Below are 19,878 nucleotides of genomic sequence, written 5' to 3'. Positions count from 1 at the left end.
TTGAACTTTTTTTTTTCATTTGCATCTGCTATTAATTTTGTAGTTCAGCATTTCTATCAGCAATATTTGTCAAAAATGTTCACAGTTATGCCAGTTCCATTATTTCCACTGGATAATGTTTAGTGGTGTATTTAAGGCACATTTTTCTTCTCTCTTATACTGATTTTAAGTATTTTTTCTTCTTTCTTTTTTTTTTTTTTTGAGACAGGGTCTCACTTTATCACCCATGCTGGAGTGCAGTGGTACAATCTCAGCTCACTGCAGCCTTGACCTCCCAAGGTTCAAGGGATCCTCCTGCCTCTGCCCCCCAAGTAGCTGGGACTACAGGCATATGCCACCACTCCCTGCTAATTTTTGTATATTTTTTGTAGAGACGGGGTTTTGCCATGTTGCCCAAGCTGGTCTTGAACTGCTGAGCTCCAGCAATTCACTCACCTCAGCCTACCAAAGAGTTGGTATTACAGGCGTGAGCCACTATGCCTGGCCATATTTTTTCCCTTAATTTATATACTATAGAAATGTTGGAAATGTCCTAAAAAATATGTACTCATAGTTGAGGTCAATAAACATGTAAAGGGAAGAATCAATCTGGGGAATAAGTTCTGATTTGCTATATGTGAATTTAATTAAATATAAGGGAGTTAAAATCCAAACTAGTTTACCTTTGCTATTTTCTGAGATTAAAAAACTCATTTGTATTCACTTGAGTAATACTTTAACACTGTATATATATATACAAAATGTTTTTTGTTGAGACAGGGCCTCACTGTGTTGCCCAGGCCAGAGTGCAATGATGCAATCATGGCTCATTGCAGCTTCAACCTCCCTGGCTCAAGCGATTCTCCCGCCTCAGCCTCCCAGCTGGGACTACAAGAGTGCATCACCATTCCTGGCTAATTTTTAAAAAATTATTTGTAGAGACGGGGTCTATGTTGCCCAGACTGGTCTTGAACTCCTGGGTTCAAGCCATCCTCCAACCTCAGCCTTCCAAAGTGCTAGGATTATAGGCATGAACCACCACACATTGCCGCTTTAACTATATATTACCATTTTTCAATAGCTTTTGAATTTTGCAGATTCAAAGTTCTTGGACCCTTACATTATTTATGTCATGATTATACATAGGGATTAATCTTCATGATAATTGGTAATATTTCTTTGAGCCCTAAGTTATACCATCTAAAAAACAATTGGCACATCTCTTAAAAGTATAGGCCGGGCGCGGTGGCTCACGCCTGTAATCCTAGCACTTTGGGAGGCTGAGGCGGGCGGATCATGAGGTCAGGAGTTCCAGACCAGCCTGACCAACATGGTGAAACCCCATCTCTACTAAAAATACAAAAATTAGCCAGGCATGGTGGTGGGCGCCTGTAATCCCAGCTACTCGGGAGGCTGAGGTGGGAGAATTGCTTGAACCCAGTAGGCAGAGGTTGCAGTGAGCCGAGACTGCACCATTGAACTCCAGCCTGGGTGACACAGTGAGACTCTGTCTCCAAAAAAAAAAAAAAAAAAAATGTATAAAGTGGAATAATTATGTTAAAGATGTTAAAGTCTGACTGATGACTTCTTTCTCTCCTGTGTCCTACTCCCTCATTCTTTTTTTGCAGTTGAAATAGCAAGGACCTTGTATGTTGGTCTCTCTGAACTCCTTGAATGTTTCTTAATTATTTTGGCCTCCTGCTTAGGCTATTGCTTAGAATAAAGTAGTCACTCGATAATTATATGTTAGATGAATGTATAATTAATAATAAGTAACTTGATTTTAAAGGAAAAGGGGAACAAAAGTGAATTAGTCTTTGAAAGCTTTTATGCACCCAGGAAACCTTACCTCTAAGAGGGATGGTGACTACATAGATGCCACCTCTGATTTCTCTGTCTTGCTTTGGTCTTCTTATGTGGCTTGACTTGCTATGTTAATTCTGCTTAATAGATAGGGAGTAATTTTTCTTCCATTTGAGGTACCTATTCTCCAAGTGTTTCTTAGACTAAGTGCTGACCAACCAGCTGACTGAGTTGGATAAATCAGAAATGAGAGGAATGCTGGAAACTCTCTTCTCTGCTCTTGTTGAACAACTTGGATTCTCTAGTAAAAATAAAAAAGGACATTACAGAGAGAGGCAGGCAGAGGAATCTTCCCAAGAAGGCTAGGATAGGAGCTTCTTAGGGCTGGGGTTCTAGAAGCTAAGGATCAACTTCAGAATTGAATTGGCTAGTTCAGGGGTACATAGAGGAAAGGAAAAATGGAATGCTCCATTCAGGGGCAGATGGAGTCAGGAATCAGTCTGCAAGAAGCATTCAATCTAAGCAAACTTGTGAAAACTGAATCTAATGCAAAGGGGCAGCTGAGTTTGGAGAGGTTCCAGTGGCACTAAGAATAGTGTCTCTGTCATACTGGGGGAGCAGTTGTTAAAAACACTGAGCCAGGTGAGACAGAATGGGGGACCTGAAGTAATTGGGAAAGTTGTAAAGGGGAGCAGCTAGCAAAAGGATTGATGGGCCTGGTGACTGCCCATCACCAGGATTGTAGTGAATCCAGGAAGTAGGGTTTCATGCCTTTGGTCAACAATAGTCTGAGAGTGAGAGTGGAGAATTTATAGGTATTGGACACATATTTTCCTTTGGTTATCAAATATGAAAAAAAAATCTGGATTGAAATTTCCTTCAGTGTCCTCTTAGCTAATTAATTTTTTCAGTAGAATTTTATTTTCCTTCATGAGATAATTTTCACTTTACATATTGTACTGTGCAAGTTGAATATTATTATAATGATTTTTCCAGGTTTGTGATCAGAGTAATACTGCTAATCATATGTTAAACTAATATGCTCCCTTCTTCCTAGGCTTCCTATACTCAAACAAAAGATTGGTTTGCATTAGCAAAACAAAGTCAGCAAACAGTATCAACCTTTTCGTTACCCTGTTGTGTACCCTACAACAAACTTAAATCACCAGCTATTTCATCTGTTTCTGGTAAGCAGAAAAGGACAAGAATGACTTCAGAACTTCTCTTTAAGTTTTTGTTTGTTTGTTCTAATTTTACAGTACAGTACTTAGTGGTTGGGGAGAAAAAATTATCCACATACGCTTTGCCTCACTCGACTTCCTATGTTTTTTGAGAGACAACTTTGTATAGTGAAAAGGAGATGGGTTTAGAATGCAACTCTGATATTTATTAGCTGTGTGATGTTTGATGAGTTTTTCCACTTCTGGGAGCCTTGCCTTTTCTCATCTGTAAGATTAGAATAATGATATATACTAAATGGATAGAAAATGCCTGGCCTGGTGCTTGGTACCTAATATGCAGTCAATCAATGTCATTATTTCTTATCACAGTTTATAAATTCTTGTTAAGTCTTTGCAATAAAGTGGGTACAACATTTTTCCCTTCCTAAAAAAAAATTATTGATGGAAATTGAGTTTCCCTTCTGTTTTTAAGTTCAGACTATTTTTCACCTTAAAAAGCAGATAAATTTCTACTGTGGGGAGCTTTGTGGATATACTGACTTTTCATAAAAATAAAAGGAATCTTCCAGAAATGGGAGTCATTAACAGTGATATTGTTAGAGAAAAAAACTTAAGTGTGAGGACTCAGAAGAAGAACCCAGGAATTCACTTACAGTTCTTAACTAATCTCTTTAAGAAGTATAAGCAACCTCTGGGGAAGTTAAATCTGGATTCCCTAGAATTGAACCTGAGTCTAGGTAAAGAAGAAAATAATCTCCCCAATTGAAAATACCTGGATTCATAGGCTTCTTGTTGTTTTCCCAAAATATTGAAGTATATAATTGGAGATAAAAATAGTATACAGGAAGAGAAGGATGGCAGGAGATGGTGAGCTGGAATGCCTGCCTCGCTCTGTGCGACATCCTCCCTTCAGTTCCATGGGATTGAGTGTACATCCAGCATCCTCTCACAGATTTACAAAGTCTAATCTCTCAATATTGGGGAATTTACTTGCAATAAAAATTGTAATGAAATGTTTCCAGTTCATTGAGATTTGAACTCTGGTAATTGAGAAAATGGTCATTGAGAATGGGGCATGGATGACAACAGTTAACTGATCTGTGGCAATTCAAGGCGCAGATTTACTATGTGAAATAAAGCACTAACGTCAGACATGTCACTGATTTTTGAAAGAGAAAATAGGAGCTGAATACTATATCTTTAGAAAAAGCATACAAATAATCCCTTTGTAAACCTTCATAAGTATCTCGTGCCATTTTGTAAGTTTAATGATAGACTGTAAGTTTGATAGTAATTGAATCTTTTAATGAAATGGTGAATTTTAAAACTTGCTATTATTGTTTCCAGTTCTGGTCTGTTCATACATGGTCTCAATCTATGGTAGTGAATTTTCTTTTATCATACAACATGAAATATCAAAGCACATATAATCATTTAGTATACATATTCTAATTCCTTAATAGATTTGGCCCTTATATATTGATATTATATATTAGTCTGGAATATTACATTTTAAAAGTACATAATGTATTTTTGTATATCTTCTGTGTGTTAGGGATGTCAAATATTTAGTCCATCTGCCACCATTCTTTTCCTCCAAATCCAGGGAAGACAAGGTTAATTCCCATTGGCAGTTTTTTTCTACTGGTTCCAAATGTAGCCTCAGAATCCTTCTTTTTTTTCTTTTTTGTTTCTTTTCTTTTCTTTTTTGAGACAGAGTCTTGCTCTATTGCCCAGGCTGGAGTGCAGTGGTATGCTCCCAGCTCACTGCAACCTCTATCTCCTGGGTTCAAGCGATTCTTGTGCCTCAGCCTCCAGAGTAGCTGGGATTACTGTGCCACCAAGCCTGGCTAATTTTTGTATTTTTAGTAGAGAAGGGGTTTCACCATGTTGGCCAGGCTGGTCTGGAACTCCTGACCTCAAGTGATCCACCCACCATGGCCTCCCAAAGTGCTGGGATGACAGGCGTGAGCCACCGTGACTGGCCCAGAATCCTTCTTAAGACACCGGTCCATGCAGTCACTACCTATGATAAACCCATTTGCCATTCTGGCTCTATAGCATCTATTTAATAATAAGAAAGGTTTGTATTCATATCTAATCTAATAGCTTTTTATGACTTAATACAGAGAATTTTATCTTTGATGATGGAGTTCACCCTAGGACAAAAAAGGACCCATCTAAAACCAACAAATTGATTTCTGAATTTGAAGAAGAAGAAGGAGAAGAAGAAGAGGTGTCTGTATCTCTACAAGACACTCCTTCTCAAGCTCTTCTGAGAGTATACCTTGAAAAGAAACAGGATGTTGATGAAAGCCTGACAATGCATTTCTCAACATGTGAAGAATTTTTAAGCTCCTATATATACTTTATTTTGAGAGGAGCAATTCAGCAAATTGTTGGAAAGCCAGTTGGAGAAACCCCAGACTATATAAACTTCAACAATATAACAAAAGTGTCATTTGATGATTGTTTTGAGTCTATTCATGGCAAGAATTTTTTAAGTGAATTAGTTCAAACTACAAAGGAGAGGTCAGAAGAGATAGAACAAACAAGTTTAAGTTCAAAGAATGAGAGCGCTGGACCAGAGAGCAGGGCGGACTGGTGTATTTCTCATAGGACTTATGACATTGGCAATAGAAAGGAGTTTGAAAGATTTAAGAAATTTATAAAAGGTACATTGGGAGAGAGATATTGGTGGCTATGGATGGATATTGAGAGGTTAAAAGTTCTTAAGGATCCTGGAAGACATCAAAGGTAATTCTATTTTTTTATTTTTCAATAGTTTTAAAAACAAATTATGAATATTAATTTGGGTTATTTAGCACAGGGAGAAAGCCCAAAGTAAATTTTAAAAAATGTAATTTTTTACTCTTGGAGGAATGAATGATAATAAAACTTATTATAATAGTAAATATTGATCACACTAGTTTTCTGATTTCATAGTTTTCAGATACTAATGATAACAGTTATTTGGGTTTGCGTAATGTTTCTGCCCATACATTCTAGAACTACTTTCAAATTAATTATTCTATTTTCATTTTTATAACATTAAAATGATGTATAATTTTTATAGAATAAAATAATTTATCAGTTATATAACCACACTAGCATAAAATAGACACCTACTCTCCCTAGCAGCCTGCTTGGTTAACAAATTCCATAACCTTGGTTGGATGCCAGGTAGCTGGGTATCTGGATGAGTCTCTCCACTAGAGAACTTCTTGGAGGTCTGATGGGGCTCAGGTCTTTGGTCAGCTCTGTATGTTTTAGATTACTGTAAGTTGAAGAACCTTAAGAGAACCCTGTTTTAGGAAAGTCTTTAACTTGTGTTTATTCTCCTGAATATTCAACTACATTTTGGTAGTTGAATATTCTACCAATGTGTGTGTGTATATATGGAAATGTGTTTTATTTCAGACATCTTGAGAAGATGAAAAAATGCTATCTAGTGAGCAATGGAGATTACTACCTTTCTGCAGAAATCTTATCAAAATTTAAACTGTTAGATGGATCACAGTGGAATGAAGAGCATTTAAGAAATATTCAGTCTGAAGTTTTAAAACCTTTACTTCTGTATTGGTAAGAAAACATGAATCAGTTACTTACTTTCACTTTCCTTACGCCAGTTATGAGTTATACTTTTTTTGTCTTACGGATATATAACTTATGGAAACATAAAATGACAAGACTATTGTATCTTTGGCCTTCTTTAAGGTACTTGTCCTTTAGATAATTTGGATGTTTGGGTGACTTTAAATCCATAATAAGGTGGGACAGTATTTAAGTTGCCTTTTAACTTTGGTGAGCATATTCTTTTTTTTTTTCAGCAGAATTTATGTTTTATTTATTTATTTACTTTTAACTTCTATTTTAAGTACAGGGGTACATGTGCAGGTTTGTTACATAGGTAAACTTGTGTCATTAGGGGTTTGTTGTATGGATTATTTCATCACCCAGGTGTTAAGCCTTATATCCATTAGTTATTTTTCCTGATCCTCTCCTTCCTTTCTATCTTCCACCCTCTGATAGGCCCCAGTGTGTGTTGTTCCCCTCTGTGTATCCATGTGTTCTCATCATTTAGCTCCCACTTATAAGTGAGAACATGATATATTTGGTTATCTGTTCCTGTGTTAGTTTGCTGAGGATAATGGCCTCCAGTTCCATCCATATTCCTGCAAAGGACATAAACTTGTTCTTTTTTATGGCTGCATAGTATTCCATGGTATATATGTACCACATTTTCTTTATCCAGTCTATCACTGATGGGCATTTAGGTTGATTCCTTATCTTTGCTATTGTGAATAGTGCTGCAATGAACATACACATGCATGTGTCTTTATAATAGCATGATTTATATTCCTTTGGGTATATACCCAGTAATGGGATTGCTGTATCAAATGGTATTTCTCTTGTTAGGGCTTTGAGGAATTGCTGCACTATCTCCCACAGTGGTTGAACTAATTTACACTCCCACCAACAGTGTATAAGTCTTCCTTTTTCTCCACAACCTCATCAGCATCTGTTATTTTTTGACTTTTTACTAATAGCCATTCTGACTGGCTTGAGATGGTATCTCAGTGTGGTTTTGATTTGCATTTCTCTAATGATCAGTGATGTTGAGCTTCTTTTCATATGACTGTTGGCCACATGTATGTCTTCTTTTGAAAGTGTTCATGTCCTTTACCTACTTTTTAATGGCTTTTTTTCTTGTAAATTTGTTTAAGTTCCTTACAAATGCTGGATATTAGATCTTCGTTTGATGCATAGTTTGCAAAAATTTTCTCCCATTCCATAGGTTGTCTGTTCACTCTGTTGATAGTTTCCTTTGCTGTGCAGAAGCTCTTTAGTTTAGATAGATCCAATTTGTCAATTTTTGCTTTTGTTGCAATTGCTTTTGGCATCTTTGTCAGGAAATCTTTGCCTGTGCCTATGTCCTGAATGGTATTGCCTAGGTTGTCTTCCATGGTTTTTATAGCTTTTAAGTTTTACATTTAAGTCTTTTTGTGTTAATTGTTGTGTGTGGTATAAGGAAGGGATCCAGTTTCAGTCTTCTGCATATGGCCAGCCAGTTATCCTAGCTCCATTTATTGAATAGGGAATTCTTTCCCCATTGCTTGTTTTTGTTGGGTTTTTCAAAGATCAGATAGTTGTAGGTATGTGGTCTTATTTCTGCATTCTCTATTGTTTGATTGGTCTGTGTGTCTGTTATTGTACCAGTACCATGCTGTTATGGTTACCATAGACCTGTAGTATAGTTTGAATTCGGGTAGTGTGATGGCTCCAGCTTTACTCTTTTTGCTTAGGATTGCCTTGGCTGTTTAGGCTCTTTTTGGTTCCATATGAATTTTAAAATAGTTTTTTCTAGTTCTGTGAAGAATCTCAATGGTAGTCTAATAGGAATAGCATTGAATCTATAAATTGCTTGGGGCAGTATAGCCATTTTAATTATATTGATTCTTCTTATCCATGAGTATGGAATGTTTTTCCATTTGTTTGTGTCACCTCTGATTTCTTTGAGCAATGTTTTGTAGTTCTCCTTGTAGAAAATTTTCACCTCCCTTCTTAGTTGTATTCCTAGGTATTCCTAGCTATATTGCTAGCTATATTCCTAGGTATGTTTTTTGTGGCAGTTGTGAATAGGGGTATGTTCCTGATTTGGCTGTCAGCTTGGAGCACATTCTTCTATATGTGACATTTTTATGATTGGTATTTCATAAAGTTGGGGTGCGTGTGTGTGTGTGTGTGTGTATATATATATATATATATACACGTAGCTAAAGTTGCAGATTTATCATCTTAATAAACTTTTTTTGAGTATTACTATAGACTAAGTGCTATGCTGAGAATACAAGGGTGAAACATGATCAAATCCTTGTGCTCATAGTGTGATGGGAAGAACATACATGTGACATTAGTATAATAAAAGAAAGTATGGTATATGCACAGGATATAGAGAGGAGGTAATATTTTACCTGGGAACTTGAGGGACTTGAAGCAAGGGAAAGAGAATGGGCATAGTGGAAAAAAATATATACCATTTGAAGATCGGTGAATTGTTCCATGTGAGTGTGATCGATCTGATTGTGTCACTTATCTACAGTAGACTTTTTATTTTAAGATAACTGTAAACTTATAGTCAAAGAAGGCTAAGCATGATGGCTCATGCCTGTAATCTCAGCACTTTGGGAGACTGAGGCAGGAGGATCGCTTGAGGCGAGGAATTTGAGACCAGCCTGGGCAACACAGTAAGACTCCATCTCTATTTTATTAAAACCATTTTTTTAAAATAAAGAAAAATTAAAAAAGAAATAATACAAAGATATACTGTGTATCTTTCATATATTTTTCCCCAATGGTAACATCTTGCATAACTATAGTACAATATCACAATGAGGACATTGACTTTGATACAATTTCTTTGTTATTTTTCTCTCTGGAGGATCTGTCCAATGCTGAAAGTCAGAGGTTGAAGTCTCCAGCTATTGTTGCATTGGGACCTATCTCTCTTTGTAGTTCTAATAATATTTCCTTTATATATCAGAGTGCTCCAGTGTTGGGTACATATATATTTAAAATTGTTATATCCTCTTACTGAATTGACCCCTTTATCATTATATAGTGACCTTCTTTGTCTCTTCTTACAGTTTTTGTCTTGAAATCTGTTTTGTCTGATAGAAGTATAGCTACTCCTGCTTTTTTTTTTTTGTTTCCATTGACATGGAACATGTTTTTCCATCCCTTTATTTTTAGTTTGTATGTGTCTTTGTAGGTGAAGTGTGTTTCTTGTAGGCACCATATCAATGGGTCTTGTGTTTTCATCCATTCAGCCACTGTGTCTTTTGATTGGAGAGTTTAGCCCATTTACATCAATATCATTATTGATAAGTAAGGACTTCTGCCATTTTGTTGTTTTCTGGTTGTTTTGTGGTGTTCTTTCTTTCCTTCCTTCCTTCCTATCTCCCTTTAGTGAATGTGATTTTCTCTGTTGATATGATTTAGTTTCTTGCTTTTTATTTCTTGTGTATCCATTGTATGTTTTTTGGTTTGAGGTTACCATGAGGCTGGCAAATACTATCTTATAATCCATTATTTTAACCTGATGAGAACTTAACACTGCATAAACACACAAGCAAAAAGAAAACTTCTTTAACTTTGTCCTCCCCACTTTTAAATGTTTTGTTGTTTCTGTTTATATCTTACCGTACTGTCTATGTCTTGAAAAGGTGCTGTAATTATTAATTTTGATTGGTTCATTGTTTAGTCTTTCTACTTGGTATAAAAGTAGTTTACATATCACTATTACAGTGTTATAATATTCTGTGTTTTTCTGTTTACTTGCTATTTATTACCTGTGTGTTTTATACCTTCAGGTGATTACTTATTGCTCATTAACATTCTTTTCTTTCTGATTGAAATACTCCCTTTAGCATTTCTTGTAGGACAGGTCTTGTGTTGATGAAATCCCTCAGCTTTTGTTTGTCTGGGAAAGTCTTTATTTCTCCTTCATATTTGAAGGATATTTTTGTTGGATATACTATGCTAGGGTAAAAGTTTTTTCCTTCAGCACGTTAAATATTAGGTTGGTGCAAAAGTTATTGCAGTTTTTGCCATTACTTTTAATATGTCATGCCACTCTCTCGTGGCCTATAATGTTTCTGTTGAAAAGTCAGCTGCTGGATGTATTAGAGCTCCCTGTATATTGTTTATTTTTCTTGCTGCTTTTGGGTTCCTTTCTTTATCTTTGACCTTTGGGAGTTTGAGTATTAAATGCCTTGTGGTGGTCTTCTTTGGGTTAAATCTGCTTGGTGTTCTATAACCTTCTTATATTTGGATATTGATATCTTTCTCTAGGTTTGAGAAGTTCTCTGTTATTATCCCTTTGAATAAACTTTCTACCCCTATCTCTTTTCTACCTCCTCTTTAAGGCCAATAACTCTTAGATTTGCCCTTTTGAGACTGTTTAGGCATGCTTTATTGTTGTTGTTTTTTTTTTTTTTTGTCTCCTCTGTGTATTTTCAAATAGCCTGTCTTCAAGCTCACTGATTCTTTCTTCTTGATCAATTATGCTGTTAAGACTCTGATACATTCTTCAAAATGTGAGTTGCATTTTTCAGCTCCAGAATTGCTGCTTGATTCTGTTTAACAATTTTAATATCTTTGTTAAATTTATCTGATAGAATCTTGAATTTCTTCTCTGTGTTATCTTGAATTTCTTTGAGTTTTCTTAACACAGCTATTTTGAATTCTCTGTCTGAAAGGTCACATATCTCTGTTTCTCCAGAATTGGTCCCTGTTGCCATATTTCATTCATTTGGTGAGGTTGTTTTTTCCTGGATGATGTTGAGCTAGTAGATGTTCTTTAGTGTCTGGGCATTGAAGAGTTAGTCCATTCTCATGCTACTAATAAAGACATGCCTGAGACTGAGTAATATATAAAGGAAAGAGGTTGATTGGACTCACAGATCCATGTGACTGGGGAGGCCTCACAATCATGGCAGAATACAAAGGAAGAGCAAAGGGATGTCTTACATGGCAGCAGGCAAGACAGCTTGTGCAGGGGACCTCCCATTTATAAAAATCAGATCTCATGAGTCTTATTCACTACCACAAGACCAGCATGGGAAAGACCCACCCACACGATTCCATTACCTCCCACTGGGTTCCTCCCATGACCCATGGGAATTATTACAATTCAAGGTGAGATTTGGGTGGGGACACAAAGCCAAATCACATCATTCCTCCCCTGGCCCCTCCCAGAAATCTAATGTTCCTTTCACATTTCAAAACACCATCGTGCCTTCCCAGCAGTCCCCAAAGTCTTAACTCATTTTGGCATTAACTCAAAAGTCCACAGTCCAAAGTCTCATTTGAGACAAGGCAAGTCCCTTCTGCCTATGAGCCTGTAAAATCAAAAGCAAGTCAGTTACTTCCTAGATACAATGGAGGTACAGGAATGACGTAAATAAACCCACTCTAATTGGGAAAAATTGGCCAAAACGAAAGGGCTACAGGCCCCATGCAAGTCCAAAATCCAGCAGGACAGCCAAATCTTAAAGCTCTGAAATGATCTCCTTTGATTCTATGTCTCACCTCCAGGTCATGCTGATCTGAGAGGTGGGTTCACATGGTCTTGGGCAGCTCTGCCCCTGTGGCTTTGCAGTGTATGGCCTCCCTCCCGACTGCCTTCATGGGCTGGCATTGAGTGTCTGCGTCTTTTCCGGGCACACAGTGCAAACTGTTGGTGGATCTACCATTCCGGGGTCTGGAGGATGGTGGCCCTCTTCTCACAGCTCCACTAGGCAGTGCCCCAGTGGGGACTCTGTGGGGGCTCCAACACCACATTTCCCTTCCTCACTGCTCTAGCAGAGGTTCTCCATGAGTGCCCCGCCCCTGCAGCAAACTTCTGTCTGGACATCCAGGAGTTTCCGTACATACTCTGAAATCTAGGCAGAGTTTCCCAAACCTCAATTCCTGACCTCTGTGCACCTGCAGGCTCAACACCATGTGGAAGCTGCCAAGGCTTCAGAGGGACTTGCACCCTCTGAAGCCATGGCCCAAGCTGTGCCTTGCCCCCCTTTAGCCATGGCTGGAGCAGCTGGAACACAGGGCACCAAGTCCCTAGGCTGTACACAGCAGGGGGACCCTGGGCCCCAGCCCACAAAAACATTTTTTTTCCCCTAGGCCTCCAGGCCTATGATGGGAGGGGCTGCCGTGAAGGTCTCTGACATGCCCTGGAGACATTTTCTCCATTGTCTTGGCGATTAACATTTGGCTCATCATTACTTATGCAAATTTCTGCAGCCAGCTTGAATTTCTCCCTAGAAAATGGGTTTTCTTTTCTGTCGCATCATCAGGCTGCAAATTTTCCAAACTTTTATGCTCTGCTTCCCCTTGAATGCTTCGCTGCTTAGAAACTTTTTCCCCCGGATACCCTAAATCATCTCTCTCAAGTTCAAAGTTCCACAGATCTCTGGGGCAGGGGCAAAATGCCACCAGTCTCTTTGCTAAAACATAGCAAGAGTCACCTTTGCTCCATGTCCCAACAAATTCCTCATCTCCGTCTGAGACCACCTCAACCAGGACTTTATTGTCCACACTATCACCATTTTGGTCAATCCCATTCAACAAGTCTCTAGGAAGTTCCAGACTTTGCCACATCTTGCTATCTTCTTCTGAGCCCTCCAAACTGTTCCAACCTCTGCCTGTTACCCAGTTCCAAAGTTGCTTCCACATTTTCAGTATCTTTACAGCAGCACCCCACTCTACTGGTACCAATTTACTGTATTAGTTCATTCTTATGCTGCTAATAAAGACATACCCGAGACTGGGTAATATATAAAGCAAAGAGGTTTAATGAACTCACAGTTCCACATGGCTGGAAAGGCCTCACAATCATGGTAGAAAACAAAGGAAGAGCAAAGGGATATCTTACATGGCAGCAGGCAAAAGAACTTGTGCAGGGGAACTGTAAGACTTATTCACTACCAGGAGAACAGCATGGGAAAGACCTGCCCCCATGATTCAGTTACCTCCCATCGGATCCCTCCCATGACACGTGGGAATTATAATTCAAGGTGAGATTTGGGTGGGGACACAGAGCCAAACCATATGAGGTAGATATTGTAGTCTTCACTACCTGGGCTTTTTTGTACCCATCCTTCTTGGGAAGGCTTTCCAGATATTTGAAAGGACTTGGGTATTGTGATATAAGCTGTATCTGCTTTAGGGGGCACCCTAAGGTTAGTAATGCTGTTGTTCTTGCAAACTCATAGAGGTACCTCCTGGATGGTCTCGGACAATATCTGGGAGAATCCTCTGGACCCCAAGTGGAGACTTTTGTTCTCTTCCCTTACTTTCTCCCAAATAGAGTCTCTCTTTCTGTTCTGAGCCACCTAAAGCTGGGAGTGGAGTGCAGCTACCACCACTATGACTGTGCTGGGTCAGATCTGAAGCTAGCATATCACTGGGTCTTGCCCAAGCCCTGCTGTAACCACCCCCTGGCTACTGTGTATGTTTGCTCAAAGCCCTGGGCTCTACAATTAGCAGGTGGCAAAGCCAGCCAGGCTTGTGTCCTTCCCTTCAGGGTGGCAAGTTCCCACAGGCCCTAGGTGGGTCCAGAGGTGCCATCCAGGAGTCAGGGACTGGAGTCAAGCACCTTAGAAGTCTACCTGGTGTTCTATTGTACTGTGGCTGAGCTGACACTCAAAGCATAACTTGTAGTGCTTCCCACTGTTCCTTCCACTTTCCAAAGGTGGAGGAGCCTTACCCCACAACCACCATCACCATGGGCCATGAGGAGTTCTGCCAGCCATCCCATGTATGATTTATTTGATAAAAGTCTATAGATATGCCCCCTTACTGGTTGACATGCAAATAAGTAATTTTGAATATTTCCAAGTCTGCAAGTAAAGGTTCTGAAACACAGTAGAGAATGACCACAGAGATCTATACCAAATGCTTTCTGATCCTAAACTAATTATGGACTTTGGATTCTCTTTCACTCCCAATCTGTGTCCATATCAGGAGAGATATCCATCTTTTTCCTATTTTATTTTTAAAATTTTTTAAATTTTCTTAGAGACAGGTTTCACTTTGTCAGTCAGGCTGGATTGCAGTGGCATGGTCATGGCTCACTGCAGCCTGGAACTGCTAAGCTCAAGTGATCCTCTCACCTCAGCTTCCCAAGTAGATAGGACTTACAGGAACATGCCACTATGCTCAGCTAATTTGAAAAATTTTTCTGTAGAGACAAGCTTGGTATGTTGTCCAGGCTGGTTTGAACTCCTGGCCTCAAGCAATCCTCCCACCATGGCTTCCCAAAATACTGGGATTACAGGTATGAGCCATCATGCATAGTCATTCTTCCTATTTTAAAGGGAAGTAATTTTCTACCAGGCCTTGAAATATGGAATAAGAATTAGTCTTTGGGCTGTGGCATTAAGGGGAAGACCTGGTCCAAGAAGCAATTAGCAGCAGGCTCTTACAGCTGGAGTTAACCCTATATCCAATAAAGTGTTAGCCCACATACTGAATACCATGATATCTATCCAATTAAGTGTGGCCTTAATATTGTGCCAGACATTCTTTTCCCTAAGTTTCTGTCAGTAATGTTGGTCTTTGATTTATATAAATTGTTGTAAAATTAATTCTTACCTTCAAATTTAAGGCTTGAAAATAAATAGTATGCATTATAACCTACTTTAGTAGCATACTTAAGCATTATAAAAATGTTTATAGGCCAGGCGCAGTGGCTCACGCCTGTAATCCCAGCACTTTGGGAGGCTGAGGAGGGCAGATCACAAGGTCTGGAGATCAAGACCATCCTGGCTAACATGGTGAAACCTGTCTCTACTAAAAATACAAAAAATTAGCCGGGCATGGTGGCACACGCCTGTAGTCCCAGCTACTTGGGAGGCTGAGGCAGGAGAATTGCTTGAACCCAGGAGGCAGAGGTTGCAGTGAGCTGAGATCGCACCACTGCATTCCAGCCTGGGTGACAGAGCAAGACTCCGTGTCAAAAAAAAAAGTTTGTATGTTTTAAACGTTAATTTTATTCTAACAATTTTTATTATAGATAAATGCCAAAGTGCTTTAAAATTATCCCAAGTACATTTTATATTTATTTTACTAGAAACTGTAAGTTGTTTTAAAAATTCCTTTATGGATAGACAGATTCCTTCCTTCCTTTCCTCCCTCCCTCCCTCCCTCTCTCCCTCCCTCCCTTCCTTCCTTCCTTCCTCCCTTTTTTAGATGGAGTTTTGCTCTTGTCGCCCAGGCTGGAGTGCAATGGCACAATCTGGGCTCACTGCAACCTCCGCCTTCTGGGTTCAAGCAAATCTCCTGCCTCACCCCCCTGAGTAGCTGGGGTTACAGGCGCCCATCACCATGCCCAGCTAATTTTTATATTTTTAGTTTTCTTATCAAGCAGCTAATAATTTGAACATAATTTTACTTATGATGTTTTTCCCAATGTATATTGCCTTTTTGTATGAGTCAATGGGATTGCAGGCAGCTGACATATCACAGAAAAATATTTTTTCAAGGCTATGTAGTAGAGAAAGAAGTAAAAGTTGTTAGAAAAGAGGTATGGCAAGACTGTTAATTGTGAGCACAGCTATTATGTATTTTGTAGGCTTTTCATTTTTGAGGCTTGTTGTTTAGTTCAATCTTACATTTATTTTTCCAATAAACAGGGCACCAAGATTCTGTGTTACTCATTCAGCCTCAACAAAATATGCTAGTGCTGAACTGAAATTCTGGCACCTCCGTCAAGCAAAACCAAGGAAGGATATTGACCCTTTTCCACAAATGGCAACCCTCTTGCCATTAAGACCCAAATCTTGCATTCCACAGATACCTGAGATCCAGGTAGGGTGTACATTCATGCTGTGATCTCTACTAAGTTTGTAGTAAAATATGTATGCTTGAGTGTTTGTGCACTGATAATTTTCATTACAAGCTTTGTTGTGATTTTTGCTAATGTACAAGCTGCAACATTTAGGAAATAAGAAAACCTACAGTCTGTTCTCTACCAAGCAGCCAAAGTGAGCCTTTAAAAATATACAATCATGGCCGGGCGCGGTGGCTCATGCCTGTAATCCCAGCATTTGGGAGGCCGAGGCAGGCGGATCACGAGGTCAGGAGATCAAGACCATCCTGGCTAACACGGTGAAACCCCGTCTCTACTAAAAATACAAAAAATTAGCAGGGCATGGTGGCGGGCGCCTGTAGTCCCAGCTACTCGGGAGGCTGAGGCAGGAGAATGGCGGGAATCCGGGAGGCGGAGCTTGCAGTGAGCCGAGATAGCGCCACTGCACTCCAGCCTGGGGGACAGAGCGAGACTCTGTCTCAAAAAAAAAAAGAAAACATATAAATATAAATATGTATATAAATATATATATACATTTATATACATTTATATATTTATATATAAATATACATATATATGTGTATATTTATATATGTTTATATATTTATATATGTTTATATATTTATATATGTTTATATATTTATATATATATTAATATATGTTTATATATTTATATATAAATATATATAAACATTTATATATAAATATATAAATATATATAAACATTTATATATAAATATATAAATATATATAAACATTTATATATAAATATATAAATATATATAAACATTTATATATAAATATATAAATATATATAAACATTTATATATAAATATATATAAACATTTATATATAAATATATAAATATATATAAACATTTATATATAAATATATAAATATATAAACATTTATATATAAATATATAAATATATAAACATTTATATATAAATATATAAATATATAAACATTTATATATAAATATATATAAACATTTATATATAAATATATATTTATATATAAATATATATAAACATTTATATATAAATATATAAATATATATTTATATATACGTATATATAAATATATATTTATATATACGTATATATAAATATATATATGTATAAACATATATAAATATATATTTATATATGTATAAACATATATAAATATATATTTATATATGTATAAACATATATAAATATATATTTATATATGTATAAACATATATAAATATATATTTATATAAATACATGTATAAATATATATGTATAAATATATAAAAATATATTTATATATATTTATTATATATTATATATAAATATATATAATATATATTTATATATAATATAATATAAATAAATATATAAATATATAAATGTATATATATATAATAAATATATATATAAAAATATATATAAAATCATGTCACTCATCTTCTGAAAATTCTCCAGTGGTCTTCTTTTTCACTCAGAATAAAATCCAAAGTCTTTACACAGTTGTATAAGCTCCTGCTAACCCTCTGACTTCATTTCCTACCACTCTAGCTTACTGCATTCCAACCACATTGGTCTCCTTGCTCTTCTTTGAGGACACCACAGAAAAATCTCCAGGGCTTTGTGCTTGCTGTTTGCCTTGCTTAGAGCACTCTTCCTCCAGATATGCAGATGGCTTTCCCTCTCACTTCCTTTAGGTGTCTGCTCAAGTGCCACTTAATCAGAGAGGCTATTCTTGAGGCTTATTATTTCTATATAAGCACACTTACATAGAATAGCACACATACCCTCCATCACTATCTATACCCTTTGCCCTCCTTTATTTTGCTTTACTATATTTATTACCATGTGATTTATCTATTTATTGTCTTTTACCTCCTACTAGAATGTAAAGAACTTTTCTTTAAGTGCATTTCACCAGTGCCTAGAACAGTGCCTGGCACATAATAGTTGCTGAGTAAGTATAAATTGAATGAATGAGTGAGAAGTAGCAATAGCTGAATTATAAGTCATGAGCATTTTTTCAAATGGGGAAAACAGTACAAAAATATAAAGGGGGAAAGTTCAAAAAGAGAAGAAAAGTTAACTATATAGAGAAGAAATAAATAACCCTACATTTTGGCATAGAGCTGCAGTAACTGTAGATACGACCTGTGTTTCAGAAGTAAAGAGCCTTATTAATCATAGTAGCCCTTAAAGGTGTCACCTGTTAACTGTTATTGGCCATATAGTCACATACAACCTCTTGGAAAGATTGCTTTATATTCAGGATGTCTTATTTTAAAAGGCAGAAGATATATAATGTGGTTTTTAAAGTTTTACTTCCACAAGCAGTGTTGTAGAGCTGGAGGGACCTTAACCCTGTCTGTAGTTTAACCCTGGAAACATTAGAATCACCTGCAGAACTGTTCAGACATACAGGGGTCCCGCCTTCAGAGATTCTGATTTAATTGATCTGGAATGGGTCAGGGTCACTCTGTAAAATCAGGGGTTTGGCTTACAACTGAAGTTCTCAACGCTTCCTGAACATTAGAGCCACATTTTAGAACCTGCAACTTATTAAGATTCTCAGGTGATTCATATGTGAAACACTGCTGTAGACTGGTGGTTCTCAAGCTTTATAGCATTCAGAAAAGTCAGCTGAAGAGCTTGTTAAAATAGAGATTCCTGGGCTTCACCCAGAGATCAAAATCCAGTAGTTCTGGGATGGAACCCAAGGATTCATTTGCTTTTCTTTTTTTCCTTTTTTTTTTTTTTGGAGATGGAGTTTCGTTTTTGTTGCCCAGGCTGGAGTGCAATGGCATGGTCTCGGCTCACCACAACCTCCGCCTCCCAGGTTCAGGCAATTCTCCTGCCTCAGTCTCCCAAGTAGCTGGTACTACAGGCACCCACCACCACGCCTGGCTAATTTTTTTGTATTTTTAGTAGAGATGGGATTTCACCATGTTGGCCAGGCTGGTCTCGAACTCCTGACCCAGGTGATCTGCCCGCCTTGGCCTCCCAAAGTGCTGGGATTACAGGCTTGAGCCACCACGCCTAACCTCATTTGCATTTCTAACAAGCTCTCTCCCTGGTGATGCTCTTGCTGCTGCTTTGGGGACCACATTTTAAGTTAATGTACTTTAGTGCACGAATGTTTCCTCATCTTGGAGCTGTAGTACAGGGAGCACATCATCTGATAACATATGAACATTTGTACAAACAACGTTATTAAGCTGAAAAGAAAGGGGGAAGAAAAATTAAGTGACGTGCTTGATGAAAGGAACTCGAATAAGAGAACAATGCCAAAGGAGTGGGTAGAGATTAGCTTGTGTGAAAAAGTGGTATAAACCTGACTTCTCATCTGTTGTTTTCATTTGACTTCCTGAAAATCATTACCATATGCTGTCATTGGTGTTATCTAGTTGGACAGCTCATTCTGGTCTCACTCTCTGTCTCCTTGGCAGAAAATACTCTAAGGAATAGAGCTCAATTCCATTTTATTTTTCCATACAGAAACTAAGGTATAACTTATATACAGCAAAATTCACCCTTTTTAGTGTATAGTTCT

At 37.6% G+C, this 19,878-nt stretch overlaps 1 protein-coding gene across 14 annotated transcripts in view; it reads left to right on the top strand.

The window, feature by feature from the left end:
• The window catches only part of RGS22 (regulator of G protein signaling 22), a 145,114-nt gene that overhangs the window by 36,914 nt on the left and 88,322 nt on the right, over positions 1-19,878 (top strand). For 13 of the 14 annotated variants that reach the window (NM_001286692.2, XM_017013310.3, XM_017013309.3 and 10 more), the window contains 4 exons: positions 2,840-2,969; positions 5,093-5,720; positions 6,384-6,545; positions 16,160-16,334. In NM_001286692.2, coding sequence (NP_001273621.1) covers positions 2,840-2,969; positions 5,093-5,720; positions 6,384-6,545; positions 16,160-16,334 — 1,095 coding nt within the window. Of the gene's footprint in view, positions 1-2,839; positions 2,970-5,092; positions 5,721-6,383; positions 6,546-16,159; positions 16,335-19,878 lie in introns of those variants that run through there. The other variant, XM_017013311.2, reaches the window with a different exon arrangement.

Source organism: Homo sapiens, chromosome 8, assembly GCF_000001405.40.
Source record: "Homo sapiens chromosome 8, GRCh38.p14 Primary Assembly".
Lineage (NCBI taxonomy): Eukaryota > Metazoa > Chordata > Mammalia > Primates > Hominidae > Homo > Homo sapiens.
Note: the sequence above shows the minus strand (reverse complement) of the source record. Positions and strands in the feature narration are given on the sequence as shown.